Source organism: Homo sapiens, chromosome 8 (genome assembly GCF_000001405.40).
Source record: "Homo sapiens chromosome 8, GRCh38.p14 Primary Assembly".
NCBI lineage: Eukaryota > Metazoa > Chordata > Mammalia > Primates > Hominidae > Homo > Homo sapiens.
Genome location: NC_000008.11, coordinates 11,716,056 through 11,744,052, shown reverse-complemented (window position 1 = coordinate 11,744,052; position 27,997 = coordinate 11,716,056). Strand labels below are relative to the sequence as shown.

Genomic DNA, 27,997 nt, shown 5'->3' with positions numbered 1-27,997 from the left:
GGCTGACCGCGTTCACTTGTACTCAGTCTCCAAGTTGCTTCTCATGGGAAGTATTAATTAATGATTAGTTTAGCAATGAAAAGCACAAAATAAATTTTGTCCTAACTCCAAGGATGGGGATCTCACTCTTCACTTCCTCCCATACCTTGCTAAAAAAAGTTTTTTTTAAAGAGGAAACAAAGTCTGATAGTCTGATTTCTCAGCGAGCCGGTGCAGTATGGATATTCCTATCAATTAAACAAGCTGCTCCCACCCTAGTGCCTGAAAGAAGAATGCAGGCCAGGAGGTTGAAACATCCCACCCCTGACTTCCCTACAAAGAACTGACGCAGCCAGAGGCAAAGACACCGACCTCTCCTCTCCTCTGACCTGCTCCATCCATCTTGGGGAACCCACCCACCCCAACAAGGGGAGGCCAGTCAGGGCGGGGAGAGGGAAGGCACGGGAGGAAGAAAGGGAGAGGAATCAGAGGCCAGGGTCACGGTTCCGCTCTCCACTCCCTCCCCTGGGCACTGCTGGCCGCTGGGGAGACAGCTCAGGCCACTGCTGCCGCCCCATCGGCGCCACAGAGCCTGGTCTGCTCTCCTGCAGATGCTCCCCTCAGACTTCCACCTGCTGGGGAGAGCTGGTGTTGAGCCCCAGCCTGTGTTGGAAGACCCTCACCCTCATGCCTGGAGGCAGAGTTGATGGGTCTCAGCCCCTTCACAGCAATGCCTGAAACTCAAATATCTGCCATGCGTCTGTATACGCGCCCCTGTCCAAGTGCTAGACGTAACGAACATGTTGGCAAAATCCATGCTAACTCCTTGCCCAAAGTTGTTTTGGTCTAGCTGGGGATGCACAACTCAAAAATAATCACTACCTTTGTGATGACAAACGGCAGTGGGCCTGGGCCTCACAGTGGTGCCCAGCCCACCACCTCCAGCTTCAGATCTTCAGCATCCTGGACGTTCAGGGAGAGACACGTCAACAGTGGAAAGGGCCCGTGCCCGGGGCAGCTGGGCAGTGCTACACAAGAGGGGCCAGAGGGGGCCAAGGAGATACAACACAGAAGGCTTTCTTGGAAAAGGCCAGACCCCAGCCCAGACTGGGCAGGAGGGGAGGGACCTGCCCAGAAACCGTTCCCTGGGAACCAAAGGGGCTTCAGAGCAAAGTCTCAGCCCCACCCAAATGTCCCTTGCTGAACCCCAGGCCCATGTCCCATCCAGAGTTCACCAGAGATGGAGCCTGGATTTCCCGACAGGCCCGGATCTGTCCCTGCGGCTGGCGCCTGGGTGTGGGGCACGAGGCCCAAACAAAGCCTGAGGTTTTCCTGGCAGCTCTTGAGCCCTGGGTCTTCTGGGCTTCGTCAGGCTCGGCAGATGCCTGTGACAGGAGGCTGTCACGGGGAGGCCCACACAGCTCCAGCGGCGCTCCGGCCGGGGATGAAATCACCTATTTTGGAAGCTCCTGCAGCTGCTGAACAGAGGCGGTTACCAGTTACCGCCCACCTTGCAGTCACCCCACAGAGTCCAAGGCCTCTGCTTCTGACCCTTATAAAGGACAAGAACCCAGGACGTCAGCTGGCTGGAGTGACAGAATGTGACTCAGTTTTGTTTTGTTTTGTTTTTCCTAAATCACAAACAGGCAAGGACATTGTGAAAGGGAAAGGGAAAGGAAAAAAAAAAAACAAAACACCAAAAACAAGAACGGAGGGAGGGGGGAACGTAGAGAGATAGAGGAGGAAGAGGTTGAAGAACAAATGATAGGGGAAAATACACCCGCTCATATGCAAAGAGGTTTTACAAATGACAAAGAGAAAGATGAGCGTGAAGGCTGTAACAGGCAACCACACCTGTCACTGGAGGAACTGTGGAAAGACTCAAGCCCCTGACACCCTGGGCCCCAGCGGCTCCTCCCTGGAGGTCTAAGAACTCCCAGCACCTCCACACCTGCCTGGTCTGTGCTCATAGTAGGGTGAGCGTGGGAGGCTGGTCCAGGAGAGGATGGCAATGGAGGAAAGTTCATGAGCTTTAGAGAACAGATCCTGCCCAGGGCCACAGAGCTAATCAACAGCAAAGTGGGATCGAACCCAGGCTGGGCAGTCAGTCTCTTAACCGCAGGCCAGCGTCCCACCAGCGCTGCCCACAGATGCCTTGGCCATCCCTGACCCCTTCCCCAGCGGCAAAAGCTGGCAGCAGATGGAAAATCAGTCTCAATTTGGCCTGAGAGCAGCAAGGGCTGCAGGAGTTCAGAGCGCAAGCATGCTGTTTTCCCATCTTGTCTGATCTCAGAAACTTCCCAACATCTCTGTCTCAATGCTTCTCAGCTCACCCACTTGGGAAACGCTTCCTGGCCTTCATCATTGTCAAGATTAGATTTTGAGACCTTCGAGAACCCCTCCATGTGGGCCTATAATTACAGCATAAAGATTTCCCCATAAAATGCAGGATCAGTTGCTGGCTCCAGGAGAAATGTAGGATGCTTCTGAATTCAAATCTGAGCCTCTGCAATCACAATGCCATAGAGCTAAGTCCGCGAACTTGTGGACTGTTGCATTGCTCTCACAGGGACTTTTTTTGTTTGTTTGTTTTTTTCAATGGGGTCTTGCTCTGTCACCCAGGCTGGAGTCCAGCAGCTCAGTCATAGCTAATTGCAGCCTTGACTTCGCGGCCCCAGGCGATCCTCCTGCCTGAACCTCCTGAGTAGCTGGGACTACAGTTGCACACCACCACGCTCAGCTAATTTTTCTAGCATTTTGTAGAGATGGGGTCTCACTATGTTGCCCAGGCTGATCTTGAACTCCTGAGTTCAAGCAATCCTCCCGCCTCAGCCTCCCAAAGTATTGGTATTACAGGCATGAGCCACCACTTCTGGCCACAAGCACTTTCTTGAAACAAGTGAAACAAAAGTATGGTGGTGAATAAGACTTCATTTGCTGCATCTCGACACTAAACATGCAGACTCCCAGAAAATGGTCACCATGGCCCCTTCCCACCAGAGAACCGCAGGCTGGGATACCATTTTAAAAACAGGCAAAGGGTCAGGTGTGGTGGCTCATGCCTGTAATCGCAGCACTTTGGGAGGCCGAAGCGGATGGAACACTTGAGGTCAGGAGTTCAAGGCCAGCCTGGCCAACATGGTGAAAGCCTGTCTCTACTAAAAATATAAAAAGTAGGTGGGCATGTTGGTGCACGCCTGTAATTCCAGCTACTCGGGAGGCTGAGGCAGGAGAATTGCTCGAACCCAGGAGGCAGAGGTTGCAGTGAGCCGTGATCATGCCACTGTACTACAGTCTGGGCGACAGAGTGAGACCGTGTCTCCAAAAAAAAAAACGGAAAAGGAACAAAGAAAAGAAGGCAATACTGAAAGACTGCAGTGAGCTCTACATTTCTATTTGAAAACTCTCCCGAATGGCAGCATTTTGCCCCTATACCAATACATTTTTTACAAAGACTGTCTTGCCAGCTGTCACCCTCAGGTGAAAGAACTATGGAGTTTTCATGGGGGCCTCCATGTGGGAAGCTACGATCAGTCCCAGAGTGGAGGGGCCTGGGCCTCCCAGCTGCTGTGTTTGCAGGGACCCTGCCCAGCAGTCCCCACCCCGAAACCTGGGACAAGGTTCTCCTCTTTGTGCCGTCCGCCTCCCCGGATTAATATGGGAGCCCTGTGACCTACCATACAAAATGGGACACTTCTGAGGGGAGGGGGCATATTACTAATTATTCTGAAAGCACAGTCTTCACACCAGGGTGTGTGGCCACCCTCTGCAGACCTCACTGTGAGACCTGCATCCGTGACATGCTGATCCCTCCTCTCTGTGTCTCCCTAGTGTCCCGGCTGACAGGTAGTACGGCTGACTTGCCCCCTTCCAGAAAAGCCACACGCAGCATGCCAGGAAAGAGGCCAGGACAACGCATTGGGCACTGGGTCCTGCAGCTCCTGGGGCTTCCGGCTTCAGGCTCAGATACAACCAGGGGAGCCCTGGCTGGGGATCAGCACTTGAAAATATTTGCTCCTTCCTGGCCTCTGGGGACTGCATGCGAAGGGTGCCCCCGCCGCTGCTTCCCTGTCCACTGCCTTGTTGAGTCGGCTCTCTCTGCACATCCCCAGTCCTTCTGTGGGAGAGGCTGCGAGGGTCCAGGAGCAAGGGGCAGGTGGCACAGTGGTACAGTCTTAAAACCTGCAAGCTGGGTCTGGGCTATTTCGTGAATATCCATAAGAGAAAACCAAGGTGCAGAGCAGGCCGGGCAAGTGCCTCATCTGAGCTCCCAGTCCTCGCCTTCCGCACACGACAGAAACTCCTCCGCACACGACAGAAGCTCCGCACACGACAGAAGCTCTGCACACAGAGCCATCGAGTTTCAACAAACCCAGTGCCTAGAGAGTCCCATGAGGCGGCCGAAATGACGATGGGACAGCGTCACTCCCAGGGCTCGGCTTCCGGCCAGCTGGGCTGCCCGGCCACTGAGATGCCATGTTCCTGGACACACAATATAATTCAGCTGTGAGAATTATCTATGCAGGGCCAGAAGTTTCCGTGTGTGTGTGTGTACACATACATGTGTGTATATAAAATCATATATGATGGATGTATATGGAAAATCACACCACGTTGCACTAAAAGCCAGCCCACTCTTGCTAGCAATAAAACTGCTCTAATAATTCACTGGAATAAACTTTTTTAAAGGGAAAATATCTATTTTTCAGGTATTCCTGCCAAATACTGGAAACAACCAAAACGCCCAATGGTAGAGGAATGAGTACAAAAACAAAGTTTCACCAAAGCCATACGGAAATTGGAGTTGGTTTATTACATGACAATTGGATAGACTATGTTCTTCAGATTTTCTCTTCCTGTAACATGGTTTAAATTAGTTAAATATGCAGTTAATTAAGCAAGCATCTCTGCCTAGGCACTGCAGGATTGGAGATGTTTATTTTCTTCAATTTCCTGGGATCCTCCTGGCCGGAAAGAAAAAGTACAAAGTACTTTTTCCACCTCGGTCCCAGCTGCCTCCCACCACAGTGGCATCCCCATCTGGGCTCAGGCATCGCTGTGGCACCAACTGTTCCTCCCACTCTACAGAAAGAAAGGGAGAGGCCCTCCCTTCGGGGTACAGTCCCAGCCAGGGTAGAATGTACATGAAGAGCTTTCCAGTCACGCTGTGGACAAAGTCTGGCACTGGTCCTGGATCCTCCAAGTCACTGTGTTGTGATGATGCCCCTCTCCAGGCTCCTCCCAGCTTGCCTCAGTCATAGTACTGTGCCCTGGGGTTGGGGGATGTGGGAAAGCAGACACCCTGGGCATTGATGGGAAGTGTGACATGCTACAGCCCCGCAGCCAGTGGGGAAAGCAATTTGGCAATATCTTATCAAAAGTATAAATGCATGTGTCACTTGATCCAGAAACTCCACTTCCAGGAATTTATCCTCCAGATGTACTTCTGTGTAAAATGGTTTATATACAAGGATATTCACTATGGCATGTCCTTCCATAGCAGAGGACTGGAAAAACAACTCTTACGTTCATCAATACCGGACTGGTTAATTCAATTAAGGCACACTATGTAGCCATAAACAATGATCTTGATGTACTGATATGGAATTCTTGCAGTATATGCTATGAAATATTAGAAGGCATGGACATTACATTGATATTCTCTTACAAAAAGAAGGGGAGAAGAATCTATACATGGATTTGTTTATATACAGAATGAACATTTTTAGGAGGACAGACAAGAAACTGATCATGCTGGTTGTTTCCAGGGAGGTGTCTTGGTGGCTCACGGAAGGACTTCTCATTGTTTGCTGTTGTGTACCTTTTAAATACTCAACTATGTTTATGTTAATGTATTTCTTATTTGTGATAGTGATTTTTTTTTTTTTTTTTTGAGACAGAGTCTTGCTCTGTCACCCAGGCTAGAGTGCAATGGCATGATCTTGGCTCACTGCAACCTCCACCTCCCAGGCTCAAGCAATTCTCCTGCCTCAGCCTCCCCAAAAGCTGGGATTACAGGTATATACCATCACGCCTGGCTAATTTTTGTATTTTTAGCAGAGACAGGGTTTCACCATGTTGGTCAGGGTGGTCTTGAACTCCTGAGCCTAGGTGATCCGCCAGGCTCGGGCTCCCAAAGCACTGGGATTACAGGCGTGCGCCACCATAGCTGTCCTATGATTATTTTGCATGTTAAATAAAATACATAAATATGTCAGGGGCTAGCATCATCACTCTTTCATGCAGTAACATTTTTAATTTAAAGCTGGGCAGGTTCCATTTTCAGATTTTTCCATAAAAGCATCTTTTCTCCCACCTTCCTTTCCTACAAAAGCATCTTAATTCCCTAATGGGAAAATGGAACCCATTTCCCAAGTGGGTCCTCAGCTTTGCTGCACTCCTGAAGCTGTTGACCCGCTGTCATCTTTCACAGCACCCTAGCTCCTGTCCCAGCGAGCCCCAGCCTCAGCCCCAGGGAACCCTGGCCTGGCTTCTAATGCTGTGATATGGTCCTGGTTTCTTTTATTTATTAGGAAGATTGCAATGGAGCTTTGGCCAGAGGAGACTTAAGCTGGGCTAGTCTGGGCCATTTGACTCTGCAACCCCAGTTAGGAGCTGGCAGGACGGAAAGGGAATATTGAATAAATTGCCAGGGCAGCTCCCTCAGGGACCGAGACAATGGGTCTGCAGGGAGAGGCTTTTCCTTCCAGGCCCATGGCCTGCCGTCAGGAGGAAACAACTTCCCCTTCGCCTCTGGAATGGCAGCAGCAGCAGCCAGCTGGGAGATTTATGGAGATATAATGTGACCTCTTTATTGCCCTGAATGCTAGGGAGGCATTTCAGGGGAGATTTACGCCTTTCAGAAGAGGAGGCGAGCAAGGGTGTAGAAATTTATACGTGGGGACTGTTTTCCCCTCTCGGGGGTGTCTGGGGGATTACTTAATCAAACCGAGGTTAAGCTCCAATCGCCATCACTTTACATCTTCTTCTCCTGCTAATCCACCGAGTCACCCTGCTACCCTGAAAGCTTTTTGCATGAAATATGGAGTCTAAGCCAAGTTGCAAGGGATCTGTTTAGTTCTAAGTTCAGTTAACACAAAACAAAACAAAAAATAAGAATGAAGACCACATTACCAGGGCCAGGAGACAATGCCCTGCAGTCGTGGACCTGGGCAGCACACATTTTGCCTATATAGGCCTCAGATCTTCTTTGTAAAAGGAAGGTGTTAGACCAGATGACTTAGGTGCTTCCTAGTGTGAAAAGAATCTAGATAATATCAGATCAAATGCTAACGCTATACCTTACTCTGCACCAGTGATTCTTCTGTCACTTTTTTTTTAAGCTGCAGAACTCTTTCTTCAAAGAAAATCTAATCTGAGGAAGCCCAACATTAAAGACAGAGGAATGCAATTGACTGGGTGAAAGGGTGGCTCCGCCTTCTGCCCACCACTCCTCCAGGTCCACATCCACACCCCCCGGGGTCTTGACGAAGGTCCTCCAGCCTCTAGAGGGCGCCCTGGGCTGCAGAGTTCCTGCCAAGCGCTGCTCAGGGCTCTCCTGATGCAGTGAACGGGGTCCGCCCCTGGCTTCGCTATCAGAAGCCACGCAGACCAGACTTAAAGGCAGAGGCAGGGGCAATTCCAGACGCAAGTAGAGGTGGACGCCTTAGCCAACAGTCATTTCACCTCTCTTGGTCTGGTCTCCACAACTCAAAAGTGCAGTAGTTGGAACAGATGATTTCTAGGCTCCTACCTGTGAAAGCATTCAACGTGGCACTGCATTCTAACTCTCATTTATGTTTTTAGTCCCTGTCCCCTTCAATTTGTGTTTAAATTACGCAATTTTTAATTGCTACAAAAATTCAAACAGGCCAGGCATGGTGGCTCTGGCCTGTAATCCCAGCCCTTTGTGAGGTCGGAGTATGGCTTGAGCTCAGGAGTTCAATACCAGCCTGGGCAACATAGTAACACCACATCTCTTAAATAAAATAATAATTAGCTGGGCTTGGTGGCCCTCGCCTGTAGTCTCAGCTACTCCAGAGGCTGAGGTAGGAGGATCACTTGAGCCTGGGACTTCAGGCCTGCAAGCGAGTTATGATCGCACCACCACACTCCAACCTGGGTGACAAAGCAAAACCCTATCTCAAAAAAAAATTTTTTTTTTCAAACAGGCAAACGGTACAGAAGAATGTCACGTAGAAACAAAAGGTCTCAGCTAGGCGCGGTGGCTCACGCCTGTAATCCCAGCATTTTGGGAGGCCGAGGCGGGCGGATGACCTTAGGTCGGGAGTTCGAGACCAGCCTGACCAACATGGAGAAACCCCATCTCTACTAAAAATACAAAATTAGCCAGCGTGGTGGCACATGCCTGTAATCCCAGCTACTGGGGAGGCTGAAGCAGAAGAATCGCTTGAACCCGGAAGGAGGAGGTTGCAGTGAGCCGAGATTGCACCATTGCACTCCAGCCTGGGCAATAAGAGCAAAACTCCGTCTCAAAAAAGAAAGAAAGAAAGAAACAAACAAACAAACAAAAAGTCTCCACCATCACCATGATCCCATCTCCAGGGGCAGAGGTGGCTAACAATTTTCCTGTTTTTCCAGATATCTTCCACTGCATTAATTAACATTTTTATTTTTAGAAATTTTAAAATTACATAAAAACACAAAGGACACTGTAACAATTCTGTTTATTCCCCCACCATCTGCTATCCAATCACTATATTGAATTTAGTGTATATCCTTCCAATTAATCTATATACTTCTACACACAGGGATAAATGTTCCTCTGAAGAACATAAGCATTGCTTTGCAATTTTAAAGATTTACATGAATGCTTTCTTTAAAAAATATGAAATATTTCAGTCACTGAGAAAAAAATATATAGCAAACACTCTTAAACCCACCACCAGCTTTTTCAAATCTTTGTTTTACCATATTTCCTTCAGATGTTTTTAAAGAAATACAACATTGCAGATACAGTAGATGCCTCTGTGTAACCCACAATTCCAGTCTCTTTTTTGCCTATTATGTTTCCCAGTTTTAATTATACATGTGGATCTGCTTTATTTGAGTTGATTTACAGTTTTCCATTATATTAATAAATCACATTTTACTTGTTCATTTCTTTATGGTTATGGACTAAACGTCTGTGAATAACCCAAATTTAGATCTTGCAATCCTAACCCACATGTGATGGTATTTGGAGGTTGGGCATTTGGGAGGTGAACAGGCCATCGGACGGAGCCCTCATGAATGGGATTAGTACCCTTATAAGAAGAGACAGAGGCTGGGCACGGTGGCTCACTCTTGTAATCCCAGCCCTTTCGGAGGCCGAGGCAGGGGGATCACCTGAGGTCAAGAGTTCGAGACCAGACTGACCAACATGGTGAAACCCCCCCATCTCTACTAAAGATACAAAAATTAGCCGAGCATGGTGGTGCATGCCTGTAATCCCAGCAACTCAGGAGGCTGAGGCAGGAGAATTGCCTGAACCCAGGAGGCGGAGGTTGCAGTGAGCCGAGGTTGCGCCATTGCATTCCAGCCTGGGCAACAAGAGCAAAACTCTGCCTCAAAAAAAAGAAAAGAAAAGACAGAATAGATATCTCCCTACACCCACCCCATGAGTGGATGCAGTGAGATGATGGTCTTCTGCAAAGCAGGCTTGGGTCTCTCACCAGACACCAATCTGCCAGTGCCGTGATCTTGGGCTTCCTGGCTTCCAGAACTTTGAGAAATAAGCGTTGTTAAAGCCACACATTCTATGGTATTCTGTTACAGCAACCTAAACTGGCTAAGACACTTACTGATATATATTCAGATTGTTTTCAGTTTTTTGCTGTAATAGCAATGCTTCATCAGGCATCCTTGTACATGTCTGTTTATACACATGAGAAAAGTGTATCTAGGATATAGGAGATATATTTTAGCCATGTTCAAATGTATATGTATAAAACACTTATGCTTGGTTTGGTGCTGTTTAAGCTGTTATGCTGTAACAAACAAATAGTTATTTGTTTGCTGTTCACATTACATGTCAGCTGCAAGTTGGCCGAAATTCTATATGTATGCTTCAATTGGACATGCAGGCCGAAGGCAAAACCTCTATGTGGTTCATGCCAGCCTCGTGGCAGGGGGCAAAAAGTAATGACAGAACCACGTAATGGCTCTTAATGCCTCTGTGTGGAAGTTGCATAGTGACTTCGAGTCACATATTCTTGATCAAAGCAAGTCTCATAGCCAAGCCTGTGTCATCGGGGTGGTGGAAATAATCCTCACCAGAAATGGGCTCCCTCAGTACAGGAAAGAACAGAGCAGTGTGCTGAACACACGTGGGATCATACCATGGATACTCCTCTGCAGCTGTTTCTGCAGGGACGCATATCTGTTTAGACATTTTTCCATATCAGCACAGATCTACTTCTCTCTTCGAAGAGGATTTATTAGTTTGGCATTGTTAAGGCACATAACACTTACATTCTACTCCATAATTCTCACAGCTGTTTAGCTGTACATGATATTTGAAAGGATTCAATGCTAATGCCAATCTTTTTATGCCACAGCCTCCCCATTCCTAATACCTTGGCTGCATTTCAGCAAGTAATTTTTCACTGCTACACACAACAGGGCTGCAATGAACATCACTGCTTTAGCTTCCGTGCCAGTGTGTCTCTAGTTTGTTTTGATTTCTGATAAGGCAAGTTCCCCTTTCTTAAGTCTCCTTTTAAAAAATTATCTTGGCTATTCTTGTACAATAACTCTTTCATATAAATTTTATAATCAGCTGGACACGTTGTATTTAAGAAATCTTGCTGGGATGTTTCCTGAGACTGTGTTAAATTTATAGATTTGTTTGAGGGAGTTTGGAATAAAGAATGCTGCCAACTTTTCCAATCCAAGGATCTAGTATCTTTCTCCATTTATTCATGTCTTCTTTTATGCCCTTCAGTAAAGCTTTATAGCTCCCTCCACAGGGAATTTACATTTGTTTAGTGAAGTTGACCAGTATTTTATCTGCAAATAATGAAAACATTGCCGCTTTCTTTCCTATCTCATTCATTTTATTAACAAGGAAATTTACTCCTGGCAACCCTAACCCACATGTGATGGTATTTGGAGGTTGGGCATTTGGGAGGCGAACAGGCAGGAGAGCTGAGAGGTATGGACCAGCTCTCGAAGTCTTTCCCTCCATGTGGTCTGGATTTATATTATATTCGGCAGTTTTCTATAGTTGGGGATATGAGTTATCTCTTAATTTCACTGCAGATAAAAGTTTTACTTGATTTGGGGGGTTCTTTTCATCTGATGTGCTGGTCTTCGGGGAGGAAAGGGAGAAAGCAAACCTTTACTCTGCTAGCCTTCGCAGGAAGTCTCTACCTCCTCTTCAGACCAGACACACATCCTCCTCAAATTCCGTCGGCTCCTCTTCCTCTAGCCTCCAGACTCGGGTTCACCTGACGTGTTCATGAATCTTTATGGCAATCAATCACATCTATCTTGAATTATCTATTTTATCCTTGTTTTGCAATAGCAGTTAGTTTTTTGGTGTTACTTCACGTTTTCTTCCCAACCTCTCTCCTTCTGTTTTGTTTTGTTGCTCTAGCCTCAGAATTCTTTAGCCAAGCAAATCAAACATTTACAAATCAAATATAAAGTAGATGAAACGGAGCTTCTCTGCAATAGGGGCCCCACAGACCCTGCTCTCAGCCTTCCTCCCATCTAAAGCACCTGCACTGAAATCAGTGCCCCTGGAGAATAGTTCGATGACAATACGTCTAGTAGTTCCATCTGCCTTTTTACAAATACATTTCACTTACTTGGCAGACATCTTAGGTAGAGCATGAAGCTGCTACAAAATCTACAGTCTTTTATTACACATGGTTAATAGCTTTAATCCAATCTGATTTGCATTCCAAAGAAATTTTAAAAGTGCATCCACTCCTATATTTTATGAATGTGACTTAAAATTTTAATGCAGATTATAAATATGATAGATTTGCAGATCAAAACTCGGTTGCTTGTAGTACAACATTTAAAAATCACCATTTTCCACCTCCTCACCAAGGATAACCTTCTCCTTAGTGATCAGCCCTGCTGTGATAGCAGGATAACACTGAGGCTTGGGCAAAGAGAAACACTGAAGAGCCAGAAAGGCAATCTTGTAGAACCAATTCTGGATGGCTAGTTCTACCTAATCGTCCATCAATGCTACTTACACCTTTGGCCAAAGAAGCAAATAGAATGAAGTGTTAGGAAAAAGGTTTTCACAATTTACTTTCTACTTACTAAGCTTGTACACTGCCTCTCCATTTTTCTCTTCTTTAAATTGTGATAAAATACATATAAAATTAGCCATCTTAACCATTTTTAAGTGTACAGTTCAGTGATAGTAAATGTGTTCACACTGTTGTGAAACTAATCTCTACAACTGTTTTCATCGTGCAAAACTGAAACTCTGCACCCATTAAACTCTAACTCCCCATCCTCCCGCACCCCGATCCTGGCCCCACCACCTGGCAACCCCTCTTCTGCTTTCTGTCGTCATGAATTTGACGGCTCTGGGGGCCCCACAGAAGTGGGATCATAGAGTGTTTGTCCTTTGGTGACTGGCTTGTTTCACTTAGCGTAATGTCTTCAGGATTCATCTGTTGTAGCAGTGCAAGACTTCCTTTTTAAGGCTGAGTAATACTCCACTGAGCACACAGACCACATTTGTTCATTCATTCATCCACGGATGGACACCTAGGCTACTTCCACCTTTTGGATATTGTGTCTCTCTCTTTTAATCAATAATGCGCTCATTTTTACAAGAAAATAAACATTGGGAATAAATGTAAACTCAAAATACATCAATCAAATGTGGATCACTGTGGTTTTGCTGATCCAGCCAGGAAACTCCTCAAAACCGGGTCTTCATAAGACTCAGTCTTCCAGGAGGAAACTCAGAGGCAGTGGTAGCTGCAATATTATTCTCTTGCTGACCAAGAGTGAACAGATTACAGGTAAGGAAATGAAAAACCAGAAAAGTCAGGACCAAAGGAGAATCCTGCAGCAACAAATGGAGAGGGAAGGAAGACTGCCCGAGAAGCTCGCCCTGACAGAGCCGTCCAGGCACGCGGGCTGCACCTCAGTGGGCACTGGGCCACATGCCCTGAAATGTGAGCTCCCAAGGCAGATGACACGAGACAAACAGAGAGGGCACTGGCCGGGGAAGTCAGGCTGACCTAGGTCCCGCCAGCCTCGGGCCTTCTGTGGCCTTGGGCAGGTCCCTGTGACCTGGGTTTCTTCTCCTGCCCATGGACATTACAGTTCCTGCCCACAGGACAGTCGCTGGAATAAATAACAAAACAATGCCAGGGCAGCAGGAAACATCCTAAGCGCTCAGTGTTGGCTGGGCCTCAGTGCTACCACCAAATATCATCCCTTTTCCCACAGCTGCTCTGCTGACCAGGCTGGCCATGGCCTGAACACCCAGGAGCCATCCTCCTCTTCGCTGTCTGCACCTCTGCCTAGTTCTTGTCCTCAGGCCCCTACGTGGAGGCCAGACAAAGCTCCCAGCTCCTGACCAGAACAGTACAAATAATCACTCTTCAGATCCCCCTGTTTCACATTCTATTCCGATTTTTAGTAAAATCATTAAAACATCCCCGACAGTGACTGTTCACCTTCACTGAATCTCACAGATCATCAGAGGTAGAAGGGCCCATAGATCTAAGAGGTGTCTGGTTTCAGTTCACTCATCTTCACAAGAATCGAAAGCCTAGGCAAGCCCACTTGGCTCCTCTGAGATGGACACCACGTCCCTGTCACTCCTGCAGCGAAGACAGCTGGATCCTTACTCCAGCCCACAAAACCACTCACTGAGGCCAGGCACGATGGCTTATGCCTGTAATCCCAGCACATTGGGAGGCTGAGGCAGGAGTATCACTTGAGCTCATGAGTTCAAGACCAGCCTGGGCAACATGGCAAAACCCTACCTCCAAAAAATATAGACGTTAGCTGGGCATGGTAGTAATTCCAGCTACTCAGGAGGCTGAGGTGTGAGGATTCCTTGAACCCTGGAGGTAAAGACTGCAGTGAGCCATGATCACGCCACTGCACTCCAGCCTGGGCAATGGAGCAAGACCTTCTCTCAAAAACAATAGAAACAACGACAACAAATAGTAAGTGGTAGGAATATCCAGGAATTATATATTGGGTTTAAAAACCAAAAATGTATAACGACTAACTAATAAGTAACTCCTCATTTTCCTTCCTTCTCCAAACTCACTCAGAATTGAGCAACCACCATGGGTCAGATGCATTTCCAGGCGGAAATTCACAAGGCAGCGGACTTAACCCCTGCTTTTCAGCGAACACAATTTTGCATCATGATAATTCAAGCTGGAATGATTCACTTATTTCCAGAGATTACTAGAGACCAACGCTGTGAGGGCTTTCTCAGAACACACACTACTGAACTACACAGTCCTTCTTCCTTTCTGTGTTCAACCTAAGTAGCTTCTGCATTTTTTTTTTTTTTGAGACACAGTCTCGCACTGTTGCCCAGGCTGGAGTGCAGTGGCACAGCAACCTCTGTGTCCTGGGTTCAAATGATTCTCCTGCCTCAGCCTCCCAAGTAGCTGGGATTATAGGTGCATGCCACCACGCCTGGCTAATTTTTTGTATTTTTAATAGAGATGGGGTTTCACTATGTTGGCCAGGCTAGTCTTGAACTCCTGACCTCGTGATCCGTTCACCCTGGCCTCCCAAAGTGCTGGGATTACAGGCATGAGCCACCGCGCCCAGCTGCATTTTTTCTTTTTGTTCAAACATCACTGGAGAAAATCATCTGGTCCCAACTCCCTCAGCTAGATCTTTTTTTTCTTGCTCTGTCACCCAGGCTGGAGTGCAGTGGCACGATCATGGCTCACTGCAACCAGGTTCAAGTGATTCTCCTGCTTCAGCCTCCTGAGTAGTTGGGATTATAGGCACCTGTCACCACACATGGCTAATTTTTCTATTTTTAGTAGAGAAGGGGTTTCACCATGTTGGCCCGGCTGGTCTCGAATTCCTGACCTCAAGTGATCCTCCCACCTCGACCTCCCGAAGTACTGGGATTACAGGCGTGAGCCACCACGCCTGGCCGTCAGCTAGGTCTTTAAACTATTCTAAAGCTATGACTATAACCCCAATTAGTCTGTGCTTATCTAAATGTGCCCCCCTATGTAAGAGAAATTATAGACAGTAAGTTGGATATGGGGTCTATGACCTAAATGTAGATTAATACTGAGAAGGAAGGCAAATTCTCACTAATATAAAACCCCACTTAATTCAACTTGGCAGCCTCCTGTGCAATCTAACCCTTTATGGTATTGAATCCAGGGCTGGGCACAGTGGCTCAAACCCATAATCTCACCATTTTTGGAGGCTGAGGAAGGAGGATTGCTTGAGCCCAAGAGTTGAAGGCTACAGTGAGCCATGACCATGCCACTGTACTCCAGCCTGGGCAACAGAGCAAGACCCTGCCCCTACAGAAAGTAAAATGATAATTAAAAAAAAAAAAGCTGGGTATGGTGGTGCACACCTGTAGTCCCAGCTACTTAGAAGGCTGAGGAAGGCGGAGTGCTTGAGCCCAGAAGTTCAAGGCTGCAGTGAGCTATGATCACAGCACCGCACTCCAGCCTGAGCATCAGAGCAAAACCCTGTTTCAAAAACAAAACCAAAAATAAAACAAAAAAGATACTATTTTCAATATTTCCTTTAATGATAATAGCATTTATTAATGGTTGGCTTAATGACTAATATTTGGCTGGGTGCAGAGGCTCACGCCTGTAATCCCAACACTTTGGGAGGTCAAGGGCGGTGGATCACCTGACATAAGGAATTTGAGACCAGCTTGGCCAACATGATGAAACCCCATCTCTACTGAAAATACAAGATTAGCTGGTGTGGTGGTAGGCGCCTGTAATCCCAGCTGCTCGGGAGGCTGAGGCAGGAGAATCGCTTGAACCTGGGAGGTAGAGGTTGCAGTGAGCTGAGATTGCACCACTGCACTCCAGCCTGGGCAACAAGCGTGAAACTCCATCTCTAAATAAATAAATAAGTAAATGCAGACTAACATTTATAGACACTTACTACATGCCGAGTACTATGCTTTATGAATAATATTTCTTAGCCTCTATGGAGTAGTTTCCATTCCAATTTTATGGGCATGAAAACTGGGTGACATTATACGGGGTAAAGCTGGATTTTTTTTACTTTTTTTTTTTGAGACAGAGTCTCACTCTGTCACCCAGGCTAGATCACGGCTCACCGCAGTCTCCACCTCCCAGGCTCAAGTGATCGTCCCACCGCAGCCTCCCTAGCTGGGGCCACAGACAGACACTACCATACTGGGCGAATTTTTTGTATTTTTAGTAGAGACAGGGTTTCATCATGTTGCCCAGTCTGGTCTCGAACTCCTGAGCTCAAGCGATCTGCCTGCCTCAGCCTCCCAAAGCGCTGGGATTACAGGTGTGAGCCACCGCACCCAGGCTAGCAGGAATTTTAAATCAGGTGCCTGACTCCAGCTTCTTTAACCACTTACTAGACTCTAGTGCCTCTCCTTATCAACTGTCAAATAAAAAGTTGGCGGTCCCCATAAAGATTATAAGCAAAATCCCTGAAAACAAATGAAAAAAGGGTCTGGCTAATGGGCTCCCCCTTCACCAGGAACAGCTGCTTATATGGCCAGCTCTCCCCCCTTCCCAGCAGGCGGGTCCATTCTCCTCTTCCTTCTCCCCCCATCCTCTGCTTTGTCCTGGGGAAAGGGTCCCCATTATTAATGCCACTCCTGGAGATGTGTTTACACAGGGGAGGAAACTCAATATCAACATTCCCCGAAGAAAAGTGTCTTGTCACTTCTGTGAAGGTTTTCAGGCAGTGAGTCACTATCCTCCAAGACTGACAGGCACTTACCGCCTTTAAACGCCTTTAAACAGGGTCTGAAGGGAGCTTGTTTCCCTGTGACGTTTGTTATGATGAGGCTGAGAGGCATGGCTGGCACGCACAGCTCTCCTGGTGCCTCAAGGGGCTCTCCAGGAAGGATCATGGAGAATCTACACAAAGTGAGTTGGAGGGAAAAACAGTGGGCTGAGGCACCCAAGATGGGAAAGGACAAACTAGATGAGTGAAAACTCCGGAAGTCTCTGCAAGCTGGCAGGGAAAGATTGTGAGTCATCTGCTCCAGGTCCAGAACACTGATGGAATGTAAAGATGGCAGGGGGCCTTTGGAAGCCAGGAGGGCACCATCAGGGCCCAGCAGAGCATCAAGGGATCAAGTGAGGATGCAAGGGGTGTCTACAGGCAAACACGGGGGCACACGCCTATCCACTTCCTCATCTCCCTTGCCTGGCTCTGGGCCTCCCAAGGCCTCCAACTGCATCAGAAGGCAGCTCTGCAGAGCTCCTCCTCCACCCCTCTGCACCGCCCCCACTCCCCTGGGGGCTCTCTCCTGCTCTCAAGGGTTCAAACAGAGACTGGAGTATCCCACATGTGCACCAGCCCTTAGCCCTCAGAGTCCAGCCACTGCCACCTGTCCCCCTGTCCCTGGGACATCTCCACCTGCACCTTTCTCCCTGCCTCAGACCCAAGAGGTCCCCGGTGTTGGCCACACCTCACTGCCCTGTTCCCGTGTTACTACCTTTGAGAACATAATGTTAGAACTTTCTGCGCTCTTCTCTCGCTTCCTGGCCTTCTAGGTTTTGGGCGCCTTTGCTACCTCAGTCTCCCTGGCGTCTCTCAGGGTCCTTCTCCCTGTAAAACTGGCCAGGGATCCACATGGGCTCATCCCTGGGCTTCTGTTTCTCAGGTTCCTTTTACAAGGATGGCTCCGCTCCCGCCGAAGATGTCTCAGCAGAGCCTTTCACAGAGGTCTGAATATGTGAGCCAAAGCTGCCAAATGCTTCAGGATGGATTCCGGGCTGCATCTTTTCTGTGAAGGAATACGTGCATGTGTCCTGTATGTACCAGGTGATGGTATTCCGGACCCCAGAAGGAAATGTGGCATAATTCTTGCCCTGAAAATACTTCCAGGCTAGTGGAACTATAATCCAAATAAAAGGACAGCACCAGAAGGTAGAATGAGAACAGAGGCCACAGGCTGACGCTCAGGAATTGTGGCTGGAGATGAGTCAAAAGCTGCATGCAGAGACAAGCCACACAGAGATGCAGAGGCCAGAAGCCACCCCACCCCCCGGGCCCAGGCCCCTTTCCCGCCACTGGCTTTCATGCACTTGCAAGATGCACCTTCTGCTTCCCTCTTTGAGGCCATCAGTACCAGATGGATTGCCAAGGTGCCGAGTAATAATGGCTTAGGGTCAGCACTCGCTGTGAGCCAAGGCTGCTGGGTCCACGCTCTTCCCTGCCACGACAGGCAGGCAGCAGCAAGTCTGACCTCCAGAGTGAAGAGCGAGGGGCAGGAGTTTCACGAACCTTGGCCATCCCCACTAAGACCAAGACTCACCCCAGCCTGCGCAGTAAAACCCAAGCACTCTCCAGAAATACTGTAGAACTTGCTCTTCTCCCAACAGGAAACCAGGCAAAAAGAGGCCTTCGGTTCTGCAAGTTCCCTCCCTGGCAGTGGCATCCACTTCCCAGCGTGTGCCCGGAGCCGGAGGCTTCTGAAGGTGGGGGCCAGTACGGAATCAGATTCCCCAGCCCTTGCGTGATGCACGGGGCTTCAACAGGACTGGGGGTGAGACAGTCTTTCCTAACTTTCACAACCTACTCAAAATGTACTCAACTCCCTATTCAAAAGTTCCTCCAGACTTTCTCCACCCAGCAAATAAAGCTATTGGGAAAACATGGATCTAAGTCCCTGCTGGGGAGGATGATGACATTGGCCTGGGCCACATGACCGGATCCCATTTGCTACAGGGTATCCCTCCTCCCTCATCTCTACCCCAGCCCCACAGGGACTGCATGGGCTGCGCACGAGGCTCCAAGGACAGAGCGTGACTCCTTCCATGACAACACAGAAGGACAGCAGAGAATGAAAGGCGGTGAAGCAAACGTGAAGGCCACCCCTGAGCGGGCAACGTCAGGATGACCCACCCCCAGCCCGTGTACACTGCGGGCATGAGGGGCACATGGAAGGCGTCTTACACATACAGCTCTTCCCTTCACACTGTGGCTACAGGAGCTCAAGAGAAAGACGATGGCCACTGGCTCCCCCATGGCCTTCCTTCCCTATTTGGCCTGTGACTTTCCTTCCCTCCATGTCCTCTGTCATCACCCACTCACTCCCAAGGCTGGGTTAGGCCTCTGATCGCCTCCTCTCTCAAGACTCTGCCTTCAGCCTCCATGTGGGCAATGCATTTGATACACACACACACACTTCTTTGTGCATGTGTCCCTAAGGCACTTATTTATTCATGCCTGCCCATGTGCCACCAGCTCACGAAGGTGATGAGGAGCCCACAGCCAACAGCTAGAAACACTGGAGGTGAGCCCAATGTCAAAAGGCAAGACAAGGCAAGCAACACAGGGCGGGTTTCAGGACTCGTACTGCTGGTGAAGTGTTCCTATTGTTACTCAGAGATGAGGATGTTATGACATACAGAAAATGAAGAATTACGTTGGAGATGTTGAGAATGGGATTTTTGGAAAGACTGACAGATGTAAAGATGCCATGAAGGATATAAAATGGTGCAGTCTCTGGAAAATGGGATGATGGTCCCTAAAAACCACATAGCATTACCCTAGGATCCAGCAATGCCGCTTTTGGGCATATACCATAAAGAAGTAAAAGCAGGGAGGTGAATAGATATTTGTTCACCCATGTAAAAATGGCGGCATTATTCACAATGGTCAATGGGCAGACGCAACCCAATTGTCTATGGAGGGATGAATGGATAAACAAAATACAGTATCGATCCATACAATGGAATATTATTCAGCCTTAAAAAAAAAAGACATGCTGCATTCTGACATGCTACAAAATGGAGAAACCTTGAAGACACTATGCCAAAGGAAACGAGCCCGTCACAAGAGAATACTGTGTCCTTCCATGTAACTAAAGTAGTTACATTCAGAGAGACAGAAAGCACAATGGGGGCTGCCTGAGGCTGGAGGGAAGGGGATACGGAGACGTTATTTAATGGGTACAGAGTTTCACTTGGGAAGATGCAAGAGTTCCGGAGACTGCTGGGGGTGATGGTTGTACAATACTGTGGATGTACTTAATGCCACCCAACTGTACACTTAATAATGGCTAAAACGGTACATTTTATCTTATGTATAGTTTAAGATAATTTTTTTAAAAAGATGAATGAAGCAAGTAAAAGCCTTTTAGCCCTAAATTTGAATTGAAAGCATCAGTATGAAGACATGCTGTATTTTATCTTATCTTTGGGGTAGGAGGGGTACGTATTTCCTGACTCTGCATGTTGAATGACTAACCCAATAGCAATAAGCCCAGCTGGCAGAGCTAGCTCTGAGATTGATCTCCAAACGCCATTCCTCACTAACAGGAGCCAGGTTTCTTGGGGCAAATGGCCAAATCCAGGCCTGGCAAGAGAAAACTCATAAAAAGAGATTAGGACATTTTATAGGATGGAAAGCAAGAAACTATTAAACTAAGATTTTGTCAAAAGAGCTCAGTTTAAGCAAGTTCCCTCTAGCAAAGATAGGACAATCTGAACATCAATCAGGATATATGGATAGAAACACATCATGCTTGTTTAAACCCATGAGGTTTTTTTGTTTTTTTTTTTTAACACAGGGTCTTGCTGATTGCAGTGGTTGGACCATGAGTCACTGCAGCCTCGAACTCCCAGGTCAAGCAATCCTCCCACTTCAGCCTCCCAAGTATCTGGGACTACAGGCACATGCCACCACCCCTGCCTAATTTATTTATTTATTTATTTATTTTGTAGAGACAGGCTCTCACTATGTTGCTCATGCTGGCTTCAAACTCCTAGGTTCAAATGATCCTCCAGCCTCAGCCTCCCAAAGTGCTGGGATTACAAGCATGAGCCTCTATACTCAGCTGAAGTCCATGAGTTCTTAATCATGCTGAAAACAATTTCATTTCATTGGTAATTGTTGAAGGATGCTAGAGAACTAATTTGTTCTTTTGAACAATGAAAAGTAAAGCGACTGTAGCAGGCATGTATCCTGCCTTTCCTAGACAAACTGTACCTCCAAGTAACCAAATATTCAATAAGCTAAAAATGTGCTTGTTGCTATAGAAGAATTCCAGCTAACAAATGAAGAAGGAATGGTGGCAGTAGAATATTACCATTAGCAATGCCTAACAAAGTAAAGGGTCTAGGCAATGAGCATCCAGGGCTGCTGCCATCACAAACTTGAATCTGAGTGTGCCTATTTTTCCCATCACAGACTTACATGAGCAACAGGGGACAGAGGAATATGTTCAATGTCATGAAGAGAAGGCAGTCAACAAAATCCAGTCTGCAGAAGTCCTCTGGGAAAAGCCTCATTTCTTTAGCAAACAGAATGCAAGGAGAAGAAAAGGAGATGAAAGAGAAACCCATAGATTAAAAGAAACTTAACAGGCATAACACAGGCAATGCTTAGACCTCATTTAGATCCTGATTGGAACAAGGCATTAAAGACAATTAGACAAACTGGGAAATTGAACAGTGACTGGATATTGAATGATATTAAAGAGTGACAATTTGTTTCAGGGTGATAACATGGCAGTGGGGCTGTATTTTTTAAAATAAAAGAGTCCTCGTACTTTTCAGACATATATACAAAAGTATTTGTGGGTAAAATGACATGCTGTTTGGAATATGCTTCAAAATAACACTGTGTGGGGGAAAGTGAGTAATGTATAGATTAAACAGCTGGTCATGAAATGATATTTGTCAAAGCTGAGGGATGAATATTCTACTCTCTATTTTTATTATGTTTGAAATTTTTCACATTAAAAAACTTATTTAGGTGGGGTGTGGTGGTTCACACCAGTAATCCTGGCACTTTGGGAGGCTGAGGCAGGAGGATCGCTTAAGCCCAGGAGTTAGAGACCAGTGTGGGCAACAAAGTGAGAGTCTGTCTCAAAAAAATGTTTTTTAACCTATTTAAAAGGTAGAAATTGAACTTAAAATTAAAGGAAGGGTGATGGATCAAAGTGAGAGAGGTTCAAATGAGAAAGAAAGATCGGTTGATCTGAGCCCTTCCTCTTCACCTCTACACCTCCTGGGAGGTAGGTGAATCCACCCTACAGGGTCTGGCAATCCATCCTTGCATCATAGTATTGTCCCCTGTAATTATCTATATTGTAATCCTATGTCATCCCACCACCTTTAGAGAAAGTACAAGAAGAGGGCAGAATTACAAGATGCTTGACCTTCTGGGTCAGACGAACACTCCTCTTCCTTCCCAGGGCAGGGCTCCAGATTTGGGGACTAAAATTGGCTTGAGTTTTGTCCCCTCTTGGCCCTCAATTTGAACTCAAACCACACAGCCGCCGTGCCCTGCTGCCGAAGCACACCACATAAATCCTCCAAAACTGGCCTGTAGCGTGCGGCTTCATTTTAACCAGAGTTCCTTCTCCGATGGGAAATGGGTGACTCAGCGGGAGGCGCTCATCACCCTGCTTGGGTGCAAAACAAAACCAACAGCCAGGAGCTTGCGCCTTCTTATACCATAACCAAAGCGCTATATCTGAAGTGCTGCTCGAATCCTGCTCACCTTTCCAGCATTCTAACATCCCTCAACGCCGTGCTTCTGCTTGCATTCCTGCCTCGCGCCCTCCACTCGGGACTGCAGAACAGCCTGATTCAAGCTAAGTCCTGGGCTCAGAATGGCCTTCCTATAGGCAGCAAACGCCTACTCATCCTTTAGGATGCCACAAGTCTGCCTTGCCCAGGAAGCCTGGCCTTGACTTCAGGCGCCCAGGCCAGTTTCGGTATCCTAAGGGCTCCGTAGAACCCACTTTCGCCCCCTTGCGCTTCAGATCCCCTGCCCCTAAGAGTGCACATCCACGTGTTCCCTCCCCTAGCAAGCTCTAAGTTGCTGGGATTCGGAGACACTTCTGTTCATTTTGTATCTTTACAGCCTGACCAGCGCCAGGCTCACAGGGAATGGGGAGAAGTATTTATTGGCTGGTGGATGGATGAAACAAATCACGCATGTGGAGCTGGGGTGTGAAGGGAGCTGAACTTCTATGAAATCTCCACCACTGCCTAGACCTGCAGACAACACTCAGTGGGTTTATTAACTGAAAAGCAAAGCCCAAGCAGCAGGAAACTCAGAGCACCTGAGGTCACTTTGCATAAGAAAAACAATGCAGCCGTATAAAAAAAAAACCAGATCAGGTCTCTTGAGGGAACATACATGGAGCTGTAGGCTATTATCCTTAGCAAAATAATGCAGGAAAGGAAACTAACCGCATGTTCTCACATATAAGTGGGAGCTGAATGATGAGAACTTATGAACACAAAGAAGGAAACAGCAGATGCTGGTATCTAATTGAGAGTGGAGGGTGGGAGGAGGGAGACGAGTAGAAAAGATAAGCATTGGGTACTGGGGCTTAATACCTGGGTGATGAAATAATCTGTAAAACAAATCCCCGTGACACGAGTTTACCTATGTAACAAACCTTCACATGCACCCCCAAATCTAAAATAAAAGGTAAAAAGAAAAGATGAGTCCATCAAACCCAAGATTTCACAGAGTTGCTTAAAACAAGGCAGGCAGCCGTGGAAACCTACCTGACACAGGCAAGCATGAATTCGAGTTTGATGTCCACGCAGGCACAGGAAGGCTTAATGTTAATGTGGCCTCTGTGGTACCGGGAAAGACAAAGTCAGCCTGAATGACTATCACGGGGCATGCCGGAAGACACTCGATTTTAAACATCTCCAAAGGGCGGTAGAGCAGTCCTTCTCACCATTGCTGTACCTGACCTGAATTCTTCACCTTACAAATGGCCACACAAGCAGAGAGAGGCAGTGAGTCACACCGCAGGAAGAGAAGGGTCTGGGAGAGGAGCCCAGGGTTTCTCCGCGCCAGACCAATGTGCTTTCACCTCCCTGCGGCTGCTGGGATCTTGGGTCACCCCTTTTCAAATAGCAGATTTCAGCGCTGCAACTCCCATTCCCCAGTGAGGCCTAGTAAATCACACGTCCTGGGGGCACCTCGCTTCAAGGACCCTAATTTAAAACTTACAAATATGCTTTAGTTTTAAAGTGGCTATAAATTATATACCATAAGATTAAAAAATATGTTTTTACACCCAACTCTTCCATTCAGCTGTTATTGACAGTGCTGGTCAATTTCTCATTTCTGCTTTATTTAAAAATGGCATCAGTGTTTAAGGATCCAATCTGGGTCACTAATTTTACAGAAATTGCCATCAGTGCTGAAATGACTTTAAACAGTAACTTGCACGACTACTTAATAATGTAGTTATACACATACCTGTGTATGTAGGATAACTGGAAGTCAAGGATTAATGCCTAACAGTGGTTATCTTTGGATGGTAAGATTACCAATTATTTTTACATTGGTTTATGTGAGTTTTCCATTTTTCTATAATAAATATACATTGAGTTTCATAAAATAAAGAAGTTTCCCTTATACTACTTGAAAAAAAATTACTACGTGTTTCTCTGAAGCCATTTTTGCCTGGAAAGCATTTTCTTTTTTAAAATAAGCAGTATTTTCCTACATCTGTGCACTCCGTGGGAACTACATTCTTTATTTCGGGTCAAGTTAAGTTCTCCCCAAATGCTAGGGAAAGGTTTTATTTGTTGTTTGTTTTCCCCGCCTACTCAATTTTGAGGGGCAACCTGTATTATTGCCTGTCTTTACCTGGTTTGATTTATGATCTTGGAAGTCAGGTCATTCTTTTCTAGGTCAAAGAAGGAAAAAAAAAAAAAGGACTCCCCCACCTAATACCTGATAAAATATCTGAAAAGGTCATTGCAGACCTTGACGGAGACACAATTTCAACCCAAGCTGATAAAACAACAACTAGCAAACTTTTATCAGAATAAAATGTAACTTTGCCATTTCCCAGCTCAATTGATGAACTCTTTTTTATCTAAAATGACAGATATCATAAGATAGGAAAACCTCTAGATAAGCAACCAAATTGAGTTGTTTGAATCAGATCTGATTGTCTGCCCCTGGTTCAAACTCCCACACCTGCTCGGAATGGGTCAATGAGCGCCTCCTGGCATGGTCCCGAGGGGTTTGGAAACATTGCAAAAGTGGTGAACTTTGAGACTTCAGCGTTTATTCTGCGATTATAATTAACCTGCTCACCAGTTGCTATCGATCAGTTCTAAATGGAGGCGATAAGGTTTGACTGGATTTCTAGAAGTAGAAATGGAGATTTCAACTGGGGAGTAGAAAGGAAGATTTAAAAAATAACTTAAGGACTGATTAGATTTTAAGAAGCAAAACTGGATTTGCGATTAGGGGATCCCAAAACCCATGGCTTTGATCTGCCTGGAAGAATCGTGAGGAAGCTTGAGTACAAAGGAAAACTCCAAAATTCAAAATTCCCACCAAATTGTGGTAGTAACTTCTTGATTTTTTATCCTCCAAAATAAAATATATCTGTAACTATTCAATGTGGGTTACAGACAGCCTCAAATTTTACTTGCAGAGGCTTTTCAATGACTTTAAACACACAGAATGGCCCACCTGTCTGGATTTTACTCCTCCTTTGGAGGGAAAATATATTTTAAAACATCAGGTCAATTCTTGGGCTCCTGCAAAATGCAGAAGGCCAGAAAACCAAATTCCCATCATTCAGATAAGAAACTTGAATATCGTGGCTCAATTCTGATTACAGAGCAGTAATAGATAAAAGCATAGGCCACCTGCCAGAAACAAGAAAACTTCCACTGATGGGCTGCTACATTCAGTTCAGACCAATTCCACGGGGCTTTTCCTGCCTGGGGTTTTAGTCATTGTCTTGATCCATGCCCCATTCTTATCTTTACTAAAATCATCATTATTGTGCTTTTATTATGATTTTCTCCTCTTCTTTCTCTGCTTTTACCACAAATATATTTGAAATCTTCAGAGAAAAGGGAACACAGAGGGTCAGTTATAGATTTCTCTTAGGAAAGGGATTTTTGAGTGAGCCATATGGTTTTGCTCTTAAGCAGCCAACAGTTCCCCTAGAGTTAGGAGAATCCTCCCATTGGAAGGGTCTGAATCCTGGGAAGTCTCTTTAGTTCTCTGCACACCAGAATCCAACGGCTAGAAAGGAAGTTTGTGCAACACTGGGATTCCTAACATTGCATTCCTGAACTGCAGAGCTTACAGTTGAGGAATGATACGGAAGATTCCGTAGGACGACATTGCTCCTAGAGAGACAGTGATTGGTGGGAAGCAAACGGAAACTCAGACAAGAAGCTACCCTGGGGAGAGGAAGCGGATGGGAGCGACAAGTCATGGAAAATCCTAAGGTTTAATAGAGCCCTTCAATCACACATAGCTTCTGGTTCTGAAGAGCCAAGTGCCCTCATATCAGATTTGGCAAATACAAAGTGTGGGGAAAGGGGGAAAGTACAATCCTGCAGGTTGGACTTACCTGGGTTCCAAACCAGGGCTGTTTACTACCCACGGGGACCTGAGATTACAGGCTCTTTCTGGGTATCAGCTTTCTTTCCAGCAAAACAGAGATCATCGTATCTACCTCTTGGAGAAAGACTTCAAAGTCCCTGGCATCAGATGATTTCTTCATTGACAGGGATCCACCTTACTGTTCAATGGAATGACATGCAAGATACAGGCTACTCTCGCTAAAAAGTTGTTAGCCAGTATCCAAACGTGAATGTGCCAAAACTTATAAATGTATTTTGTATAAATTAAAACAGATTCAAGATTATTCCTATTATAACCCCATTTATATTTTCTTCCCTGCCTTCTTTAGAAGGTAACAAAAGAGTAGCTCTAGAGATAGCCATTAAATTACTCTTAGTAACCAGTTTATGTTGTATGGCATATGGGGCCATGTCATGGTCTACCAGAGGTCAATATAGCAGAGCGATACTCCTTCCCAACAGAGCCTTAACAGCTGGTTCTGCAGGCAGGCTAGGACAAATAAGTTCCCAAAAGACAAATAGTTTCAGATGTCAGAAAAGTTGCTTCAAGTTCTTAAAGCAGCAGCTCGCGTTGGCAAGAACTGCCCTCTTCTGGAACAAGGAAAGGAAAACTAGCATACTTCCTCTTTCTTATGCAGACACAAGCAGCTACATTTGCAACTGGCTTCAGCTCTAAATTCAGTACAACTAAATTGTCTTAAAATTTGTTTAAAAGAATCACCTTGCCCTGGAGGAAGGTAACTTGTTCTTCACACAATCCCACCGCTGCAGCCGGTTAGTGGTTTTCAGGCAGGTTCTAACTCCAATATAACCTGAGGGAAAACTGCCTACCTGGAGAGGTCACCATTGCCTAGTACGTGACTGTTTGTGCCCACAAGTGGGGAAGCCACAGTAGTGTGGGGCTGGGGTGTCCGCCCATTGCTGATTTAGATCCACTACCAGCACTGAGACCAGGAGTAGAGATTTCCCCCTCTCAGTAAAGCAACCTCCTGTGAAATAAGCAAAATCAAAAGCCAAATACAGGATTGCCACTGAGGATGGTTTTGATCTGCCTTGAAGAATCTTGAGGAAGCTTGAGCATAAAGGAAAACCCCCAAAATTGTAAAAGAATAGGTAAAAGACAAATTTAATAAAAAACAACTTATGCCTTAAAGCAGTTTTCCTGTGCATCCATAAACACTAAATAGAGAATCTTCTTTAAAAAAAAAAGAAAAAGATGCTACTTTCAGGTTGATTCATGAATATCATGTATCTGTTTTTTAAAACTTAATTAGTTTAATATGTTTTTAAAATTAGGTAATATAGTCACATTCTCCAAATTCAAAAGGTTTCATTTGCATACCCATGTTCATAGCAGCATTATTCACAGTAGCCAAGACGGAGAAGCAACTCAGGTGTCCATCCATGGATGAATGGATAAACAAAACGTGGTCTACACATACAATGGAACATTATTCAGCTTTAAA

General features: G+C 46.2%; 1 protein-coding gene across 5 annotated transcripts in view, besides 7 other annotated features; it reads right to left on the bottom strand.

Annotated features, from left to right (window-relative positions):
* The window catches only part of GATA4 (GATA binding protein 4), an 83,068-nt gene that overhangs the window by 15,950 nt on the left and 39,121 nt on the right, over positions 1-27,997 (bottom strand). The window lies entirely within an intron of this gene.
* Positions 6-4,778: an enhancer, noted in NCBI's record as "VISTA enhancer hs2205". NCBI's record gives its function as "enhancer in: heart[6/7]" and the evidence as "EXISTENCE:transgenic organism evidence [ECO:0001131][PMID:17130149]".
* Positions 6,544-7,045: an enhancer, noted in NCBI's record as "H3K27ac hESC enhancer chr8:11594517-11595018 (GRCh37/hg19 assembly coordinates)". NCBI's record gives its function as "activates a minimal SCP1, AML or CMV promoter by ChIP-STARR-seq in primed H9 embryonic stem cells {active_cell/tissue: H9 hESC(primed)}" and the evidence as "EXISTENCE:reporter gene assay evidence [ECO:0000049][PMID:30033119]".
* Positions 7,604-7,653: an enhancer, noted in NCBI's record as "active region_27031". NCBI's record gives its function as "activates an Ori minimal core promoter by ATAC-STARR-seq in GM12878 lymphoblastoid cells {active_cell/tissue: GM12878}" and the evidence as "EXISTENCE:reporter gene assay evidence [ECO:0000049][PMID:35858748]".
* Positions 7,798-8,298: an enhancer, noted in NCBI's record as "H3K27ac hESC enhancer chr8:11593264-11593764 (GRCh37/hg19 assembly coordinates)". NCBI's record gives its function as "activates a minimal SCP1, AML or CMV promoter by ChIP-STARR-seq in primed H9 embryonic stem cells {active_cell/tissue: H9 hESC(primed)}" and the evidence as "EXISTENCE:reporter gene assay evidence [ECO:0000049][PMID:30033119]".
* Positions 15,972-16,955: an enhancer, noted in NCBI's record as "H3K27ac-H3K4me1 hESC enhancer chr8:11584607-11585590 (GRCh37/hg19 assembly coordinates)". NCBI's record gives its function as "activates a minimal SCP1, AML or CMV promoter by ChIP-STARR-seq in naive H9 embryonic stem cells {active_cell/tissue: H9 hESC(naive)}" and the evidence as "EXISTENCE:reporter gene assay evidence [ECO:0000049][PMID:30033119]".
* Positions 25,121-25,265: an enhancer, noted in NCBI's record as "145 bp enhancer 121 fragment used in the MPRA reporter construct; PK_construct_1557". NCBI's record gives its function as "activates an SV40 promoter by MPRA in HepG2 cells {active_cell/tissue: HepG2}" and the evidence as "EXISTENCE:reporter gene assay evidence [ECO:0000049][PMID:23512712]".
* Positions 25,186-25,199: a transcriptional cis regulatory region, noted in NCBI's record as "HNF4 motif; enhancer activity is reduced when this motif is scrambled". NCBI's record gives its function as "necessary for full MPRA enhancer 121 activity {active_cell/tissue: HepG2}" and the evidence as "EXISTENCE:site-directed mutagenesis evidence [ECO:0005528][PMID:23512712]".